Raw genomic sequence first — 9,300 nt, 5'->3', positions numbered from 1 at the left:
TATCTGTGTTTTATTTTCTCCTCTGGCAATTTGAAAGCAACAATTTGACATAAAAGTCTTGAACTGCTTTATTTCCTTTGGTCTGTGCCAGAAAAAAACAACAGAAACAACAAAACCCTGATTTTGTACAAAAAGCAACAAGACTGAATTTTTTTTTTCTTCTCTAATTGCTTCCCCAGCTACCTTTCCAACATTCTTAGGAATTAGCGGTGGGAGAGGCACAGCTCAATTGGTTGTGCAGAGCTGAGCAGCTCTGAGCTTCATTAAGGCCTCAGTGAGAAGAGGGCTGCGGGCAGAAGCCCCTGCTCTATCCCCCTGGCTGCTCAGGAGGCTCTCATATATGCCAAGGTCAGCCAACTTCTGTCCCCGTTGTGTTGACAGAGTCATCCACATGCTCTCCCTTTTCACCCTAGTTAAGTAGAATCCCATTAGCCTGGATGTATAAGACTGGATTACATTTTACTTTAGCTTGTTCCATTCAGTATTTTTCCACATGCAAACATGTTTTTTATTATTTTCAGTACTCATGTGAACTATACACCAAGACAATGTAAAGATAATGGGCGAGGTCAGCCTTATACACAGACAACATAAGCCACTACCCACATGGCATAATGGAAGGGCAAATTCTTCATCCAATTAATGCTTGAAAGCCCGTTATGAGTACTTTATACCTCTCTGCTCACAGTTTTCTTCCCAATGCATCTGGTTTGAGAAAGATTAACTGATTTGAGGGGAATGAGATTTAGCACACTGGATCTCTAATATCTTAATTGATTAGCTTGGTCAAGTGCAGGTAGAGCTAGACCTTCTAACCTTGGGGAAAGAGAGAACAATGAAGGTGGGAGCTTAAAGACTAAGAGGGTGGGCTAGAAAGCCTGAAGGGGATTAAAGACACTACAACCTTTAACCCACAATTTCATCAGCCAGCCCCTGAAAGTGGGAGGTGGTGAGGCTTTTTCAAATCCTAAGACTACAGGTCAGGCTCTTTGCTTTCTGTGGTCCCACAGAAGGCAACATGGGCCAAGCAGGAGCCACTGACCAAACCCAGAGAAGACTTCTGCAAACAGAAGTCTCTCCTATCTGCCTTCAATAACCCTCCCTGGGTTTTGTATTCACTGATGAAACAAGAGATTGGAGTTATCTATTCTTATCACCTTTCTCTAAAATGGCATTAATTCTTTGCCAGGTCTATCATCTTTTGCAAAAACAAAACATTTAACAGTTTGAAGCACAATTTATGAATGAAATGCTTCCCCTTCAATTCTAAAGGTTCTATCAGATTGCCCTTCAGGGAAGAAGGAAATCTAATGTGAACCAAGAGGTCTTTCTCATACTTTGCTTGTCTTCAGCCTCCCTTTTCTGTAGAATTTCCCCACTCTGCTGCCATTCTTTCTCCCAGGTATGCTTGCTTCTCTCTTTCTTCTTGAAGTTTTCAGAAGAAGGCTATTTGGCCTTTGCTTTCAATTTAATCTGACAACCACCACTACCACCTGAGTTATTCTATATCATGGAGATTAACATTCCAAGCTTCATTTCCATTTGTGGAATGGTAAACTTCCATGACTGTTAAAGGTATTTCAGAGATCTCACCAGCTAATCTTACCATCAGTCAATATTTCCCAATCACCAATAAAATATCCTTCTTAGGGCTATAGCGATGAAAATACGAGACTCTATCCAGAAGGAGCCCACAACCCAGGGACAACTGTAAACATGTAATAAATACATTATGTAATAAATACCTCCATAAATTTGTGAATAGACTGTTCTTGTTAAGATAAGACTGAGGTAGAGGAACTCTTCCTGAGCAGCCTGGAGATAATTTTCAAGGGAAGAAATACTGGATCAATATCTATGGGATGAGCAGAACCTCCATAAATAGAGAAGTTCAAGAGGAGCATATCTCTCCAGGCTGGAGGAAGAGCATGTACAGAATACAGAACAATTGAAAAGTGCTCAGTATGTGGAAAAGAGTAGAAGGCATGGTGACTATAGCTTGGAGGTTATAGGCCGATGCAGTGAGGGTGGTCGAGGAGGCTGGAGAAATGTGTTGGGTCAGAGAATTGAAGATCCATACATGCCATGCTTGAGTGTAGATTGTGAGCAACCAGGGCCAACAAAGGCTTGTAAACTTGGGGATGACATGACTATATCTTTTTTTTTTTTTTTTTTTTTTTTTTTTTTTTTTTTTTTTTAGGTGAAGTCTTTCTCCGTCTCCCAGGCTGGAGTGCAGTGGTTTCAGTCTTGGCTAACTGCAACCTCCACCTCTCAGATTCAAGTGATTCTCCTACCTCAGCCTCCCATGTAGCTGGGATTACAGGTGCTCTATCTACCACGCCCAGCTAATTTTTGTATTTTTAGTAGAGACAGGGTTTTGCCATGTTGGCCAGGTTGGTCTCGAACTCCTGAACTCAAGTAATCCGCCGACCTCGGCCTCCCACAGTACTGGGATTATAGGAGTGAGCCACCATGTCCAGCTCACCATATATATTTTTAAGAGAATTATTGTGGAGGAAATATGGAGGGTTATGCACAGTTGGAAAAGACGTGCTTCTGGTATACCAGTTAGGAGGAAGCAAAAATCAGGGAGAGGGTGAAAGCTTGAACTATACTGATGAACAAAGGTGACAAGATGAAAGTATTCCTCACATGGTTTTGTCAAGACCTAAAGCAGCACCAAATATGTCTCAAAATGCCCTGCTTACAAAAGATAATATGTATGTGTGTATCTGTGTGCGTGTATTACCCTTTGCTTTCAGATCTAAACCAGTATTTAAATGAGTCTTCAACTTCGTTCTAATTTGCCTCTCACTTGAGTTCTATAGTTTCCTTCTGCTTTAATTCATCTACTTCACAAATACCTGTCCCCAGTATCTCAAAGGCCAGCTGGCTATATTTTAACCAAAAAGTGTTTTTCTTACCTAACAGAAACTGACTTTTAGGGCTGCCATTACTGATAACAGATGTTGAAGCATTTCAACTTACTTTTTATTCCTTTCCCCCACAAGATTTTAAAATGGGTTTTAAAAACATTTTATTTAGTTTTTTAGCCTCAATATGTTTTTCCAAGCATTATTACTCTTTCTCCCAATGTATAATAAAAAAAATTAACAACTCCTGTTACTGTTTATTTCCCATCTGTTGGAGATGATATAAAATTTCAGATACGCTTTTAAAATACAGAGCAAACATGCCAAATATAATCTATAGTATAGTAAACATTATGTTTATTATGTTTATTGTATATATTTTATGTATCCCTTCTGGCTAAACTATGCATTATTATAGCATGAGTCATCCTGTTTAACCTATTGCGATTTTACCACATTCTATAGTGCCACTGAAATTGAATTAGGATATCATGTATATACATATTTATAGTACAGAGTATTTGAACTTTTTCCGTCCATATATAGAAAACCGTATTCTATCTTTTTTTTTCTTTTTGACACAGAGTCTCGCTCTTTTGTCCAAGTTGGAGTACAGTGTGATCTCAACTCACTGCAACCTTCGCCTCCCAGGTTCAAGAGATTCTCCTGCCTCACTCAGCCTCCTGAGTAGCTGAGATTACAGGTGTGTGCCACCACGCCCAGCTAATTTTTGTATTTTTGGTAGAGACAGGGTTTTACCATGTTGACCAGGCTGGTCTTGAACTCCTGACCTCAGATGATTCACCTGCCTCGGCCTCCCAAAGTGCTGGCATGAGCCACTATACCCAGTGTATTCTATCTTTCTTAAGAACATCAAAACTGAGGTTGATAAGCATGTCACATTCATATGTAAAGCATGAAGTTTAAGGAACTCAGCAAATAAAAGAACAGAGATCCTATAGTGCATTTATTTAAAGTTTTTTCTTAGCAGTGCAATTCCTGGTTATTTGAAGCAATAAGTAAAAGAATAATTGTTGTGAACTGCTTTGATATAAAATAAATGTTACTAAATGTTTCTTTCACTTTAATCACGTCATCCTTATTCCACACTATCCCTGTTGACTAGAAATAAACTCCCCAGAAACTTAAGGGATGCTGCCTATTTATCAAAAGATTGACACTGAAATAATTACTCTTTGTAGTAGATCTATTTTACTATTAGCAAACTTCAGATATTCCTTAAATTCAATTTCAAGCACACATTGTTAAATAAGAGAGAGGATTGCTAAACTTTTACATATCTCCTAACACAAGTAGATGCTGCAGACACAGTGTATTTTTCAGGCATTCTAAACCACTTGTGAGCAATAAAAACACACAAATAGAGTTCTATTTCTTGTCATGGAAGCTCACCTATCCACTTTCCCACTATCTTATTTCTGCTCTATTTCTATTGGTGCTAAAAATGGTTTTGCTCAGCTGTCAAAGTTAATAATAAGTTAATCAAAATAAAGTTTATTTTACAATTGTTGTGCTACATACATTATCATATATCTTACTCTTGGGGCTTCTGGCATAGTTCCATATAAATGAATTCACTTTGATTAATTCTTGGTCGATAAATCAGTAACCAAAAAATTGTTATTAAGAGGAAAGAGAAAGCCTTAGAGCATGAGATTTCTGGATTAACTGTGTACCTCTATTCGACTATCAGCTAGCCCAGAGAGTTCTCAGAATATGACCCAATGACCCCTGGTCCCTTCAGAGGGTCTGTGAGGTCAAAACTATTTTTGTAATAATACTAGGAAATCATTTTCCATTCACTAACATTTTCCTGTGAGTATACAGAGGAGTTTTCCAGAGGCTACCTGGCATGATAATGCAACAGATAGAATGCAGAAGTGTGAGAATCCAGTTGTCTTCTATTAGCCACTCTTTCAACATATTTTTAATAATTAGAAAAATACCACACTTCTCGATAATGGTTTCGTTTTGGAAATATGATTTTTTTCATAAAAATATGTTATTTATGTTAGCATGTAATTTAGTTTTAAATAAATTAAGCATTTTAACAATTTCCATTTTAATTTCTAATACTGTAAATATTGATTGACACAACCCATATAAACAAAATTCTTTGGATTTTCAATAATTTGTACGAGTGTAAAGGGGACCTTGAGCCAAGAAGTTTGACAACCAGTGACTTAGCTTGCTAATTTTTCTACGTTAAACTCATGTAGGAGAAAGAGGGAAAGAGAAAGAAATGGTCAAGATTGCAAGAATAAGACTAAGACTAATACTGGTTTCTCAAATGTCCAGGAATTACCCATATTGTAAGCCTTAATTTGAATCTCCACTGATTTGATTTTCAATTTGTACTAAATTAAAGTTAATTTTTCCTATTAGTATAACCAGACTGAATCAGTAAGTAATAATTTTCCATAGATCATATCATGACATCCCAAGAGAATAAAGTAGGAAAGAGAATTAACATTTCCTACTATGCGTCAGGCACCTTATAAATGGCAGGTGGTCATGAGCAAAGGTTCTAATTCTAATTTGTTCACATCTGGCTCTGACACTCACTTGCTGTGTGAGCTTGGGCAAGTTATTTAACCTCTCTGTCTCCATTTCCTCAGCTGTAAAATGTACTGTCTCATCAGGTTGTTTTGAAGAATAAAAGTCATTCCTCATAAAATCTTTTCAACAATGTTTGGTATACAAGAAGCACTAAATAACATGGTATCTTTCCCTGGCTCTATAATCATCACAACAACTCTAAAAAGGAGGTGTTATTATCCCCTTTCATTGATAACAAAACTGAGGATCCAGAGGTCTTGTTATCTACTCAAGCTTGTGTACACTGCAAGTGATGAGATGTTATTGAAATCTACATGATGCAAAAACTCTTTCTTGCACCAGACCAGTGGTTCTCAAACTTAAGCTCACATCAGAATTACCTTACCCTCAGAGTTACTGGGACAGTATTTTTAGGACAGGAAAAGGGATTTGTATTTTGAATAATCTCCCTGGAGTTGCTAATGCTGCTGACCCAAGCACCATGCTTTGAGAACCCCAGCCCCAGAGACTACACTTGGTCACCAATAACATTTGCACCCATAGTACCATCTGTAAATAGCCTCACTTTGGTCTACCATGCCCTCACTTTGCTATATCATGGTTCTTTCGATAGCAGTACTTTTCTGGACCTTTCCCATATTTCCACTGTAATGTAGGGACAATAAAAAGTTATGATTACTTCTATAAATTTTGAACTAAAAGAAGGATCTTACCAAAGAGGCTTGTCAGACACCTACTTAAACTCATACCTTCCAGAAGGGATGAAAAAAGAAAATGCAGCTAACTGGTACTAAGAAAGAAGTCTCTCCTGGCACAAAGCTCAAATTTTCTCTATTATTTGCCTTACTCGATTTCTACTTACTTACCTCAAAATGAAACCTGAGAATAGCCAATAAAATATCTCATCCATAGTCTTTACTTTCATTACTCTTTCATAAGTAACCTAGGAATAGATATTAAGCCCAGCAAAGAAAGAACAAGTTGGCTTTCTCTTGAGAACTCATTATTGGAGCAAGCAAGTGCTATTTCTAAATTTTGTCAAATTCTTAGATCACCATGGCAAAAACGTGAAAGAGAGTTAAAATTTAATCCTTAAAAATGAATCAAATTGAAGAATAGTCACTTTTGTCTACTGAGTTCTACTCAGTAATAGAAAATCAGTAAGCGATTGGAAATTGGCAAGATAACAACTGGAGATAAGCCAGTGGTCAAGATGTATATGTTGTAGTAATGTGGAAGCACACTTCTAGTGTTCTCTGTCCTATTTTAGACTATTTATGTATGAGTGGAAAAAACAAACTGTTTCTCCTACTACACTCTTTCAACACAGAATGCTTCTGTGACTACATGTGTGGGGATTTTTTCCCCAAACACCAAGCAAACAATTGTGCAGTGCACACCAGCTAGGATCCTGTAATTTAATTCCATCCTGACACTATTTACCTGGAGATAGCGTCAGATCCTACAGGTTGAGAGCTCAGTCCCACAACACTGCCCCCAACTTCTGATGCCAATTGCAAGCACAGGTCGTGGCCTGTGCTTCCGACTGACTGGCTAGAAATTGGGGTTCCCATAACTCCCTCCTTGGGTTCAATTAATTTGTAAGAACAGCTCACAGAACTCGGGGAAACACTTACTTATGTTACTCCATTTATTATAAAGCATATTACAAAGGATACAGATGAATTGCCAGATGAAGGAGGTGCCTAGGGTAAGGTATGGGAGAAAGGGTGCAGTTTCCACGTCCTCTCCTGGTGCACTACCCTTCAGGAACCTCCATTGTAAAGCTATATGGAAGCTCTCTGAGCTCTCTTCTTTTGAGTTTTTAAGGAGGTTTCATTATGTAGACATGATTGATCAAATTATTTGCCATTGGTGATCAATGTGACCTATAGCCTCCCTCCTCTCCCTGGAAATTGGAGGGTGGGGTTGAAAGCCCCAACTCTCTCTAATCAACCCTTGGTCTTTCTGGTGACCAGCTCCCATCCTGAAGCTATCTAGGGGTCTCCAGCCACCAGTCATATCATTAGCATAAAAAAGACGCTCTTATAACTTAGGAGATTTTAAGGTTTTAGTAGTCATATATCAGGAAATTAGGAAGAAGACCAAATACAGTCATGTGTATTGATGGGGGCACTTCTGATAAATGCACTGTTAGGTGACATCATCATTGAGGCAACATCAAAGAGTACATTTACACAAAACTAGACGGCATAGCCTACAATTCACCTAGGCTATATAGTGTAGCCTATTGCTCCTAGGCTACAAACTTGCATGGCATGCTACTGTCCTGAATACTATAGGCAACTGTAACATAATGGTAAGTATTTGTATATCTAAACAAAACTAAACATAGAAAAGGTATAGTAAAAATACAGTATTGTAATCTTATAGGACCACTATCCTATATGACTGTGGATTATGACCATAAATATTTTACAAAATGAGAAGACTCAGCATTGGTGCAGAACTCAGCTTTGGTCAAGAAGAAAGCAATGCCAGTAATGGGACTTGAGGAAGAAATTAATTCTGTTACCTCATAAATAGAGGAAGCTGGACATATAGGACAATCACTATTCTTAATAAGAATCACAGGGCCCAAGGTAAGAAAGCAGAGACAAAAGTACCACATGCTGAGTATTTTAGGTGTTCCTTTTCATTTTGTTCTAAGGGAGAGAAAGTCCTCTGAAAGTCATTATTTCTTCTCTCTTCCTCTTTCCCATCCTCAATTTCTAATTATCTTCCCTTCTGCCTTTGGATTGTTGTTGATCTCCAAGAAGCTGGGGAGAGAAGTGACAAGGCTTTTAGACAATAGTCTAATTTCTAGCAAAAAATATTTGCAGGTGTTCTATATGAAGAGAAAGATTTTCTACTGAGGGAAGAAGAAACAAAAAAAGAATGGCTTTGATGCATATTTAAAGATTTGAATTAGATATTTGGAATAATTGTACAACTATTAAAAATATTTACTGCTACTGTGGGTATCAATGCAAGGAAGTTTTCAACGCTACAATAGAAAACTTCATCTATGAGTATCACGTAGGAACACTCATACCCAAATAGAGAGGGTCATGAAATCTTCTAATCCTATGATGCTATGAAAATAGAAATTGAACATTAAATTTATGCAACTTAATATTTGCATAGTGTTCATCAACGTGTTGAACAATCATCTGGTTGTTAAAATAGACACCAGGACAAAGTCAGAAGGGAAATATTCTTGTTGGCCTTAGCTCTAGATTTCTTAAGGACCAAGATTCTGTTTCAGTGTGATTTATCCCAGGCCATGTTCAGGTCAATCATTGCTTATTGAGAACCTTCTAAATGCCAATCTCCATGCTAGGTATCAGTTATACAAAAATGAATGGGACAAAGTTTCTACATCATGCGGCTTTTTGTCAGTCAGATGCTCTATTTCCCATTACAGGGGCACCTGTTTTCAGCCTATCTAAGCAGATTCATCTCACATAAAACCTCTTCAGGTCTCTGCCTTACCCAGATATAAGAAAAGTACAACTAGAGTACATCTCCATAGAAATACGCTTCCCCTTTCCTTCCTCATTCATCTCAGCTGTACCCAGTATGTTCTGAAAAGGGTACTATGAACCATAAATTCATAAACCCATCTACAGGGGCATAGCTAGGCAGGAGAGTTGCCATTCAATTGATAGATAAACCTCCAGGAATAAGCTTCAGTGCTCAACTGTTAGAGTAGTCAGCAAAATCCACAGATTTAATTACACCCGAGTAATTGCAGAAAAGATCATCCATTATTCTAACTACTCTGAAAAAGAAGAGCCCATACCCTGAAACGACTTTGTGGCAGCATAAATGGAGATCTATTCAT

The 9,300-nt window shown here is 37.9% G+C and overlaps 1 long non-coding RNA gene across 1 annotated transcript in view; it reads right to left on the bottom strand.

The window, feature by feature from the left end:
- Positions 1 to 7,887: 7,887 nt before the first annotated feature.
- The window catches only part of LOC112268135 (uncharacterized), a 93,016-nt gene continuing 91,603 nt past the window's right edge, over positions 7,888 to 9,300 (bottom strand). The window contains exon 3 of the long non-coding RNA XR_002957614.1: positions 7,888 to 8,233. This is a non-coding gene — a long non-coding RNA (uncharacterized LOC112268135). The remainder of the gene's footprint in view (positions 8,234 to 9,300) is intronic.

This window comes from Homo sapiens, chromosome 14 (genome assembly GCF_000001405.40).
Source record: "Homo sapiens chromosome 14, GRCh38.p14 Primary Assembly".
NCBI lineage: Eukaryota > Metazoa > Chordata > Mammalia > Primates > Hominidae > Homo > Homo sapiens.
The sequence above is the reverse complement of the archived record's forward strand: the minus strand, read 5'-3'. Positions and strand labels throughout refer to the sequence as shown.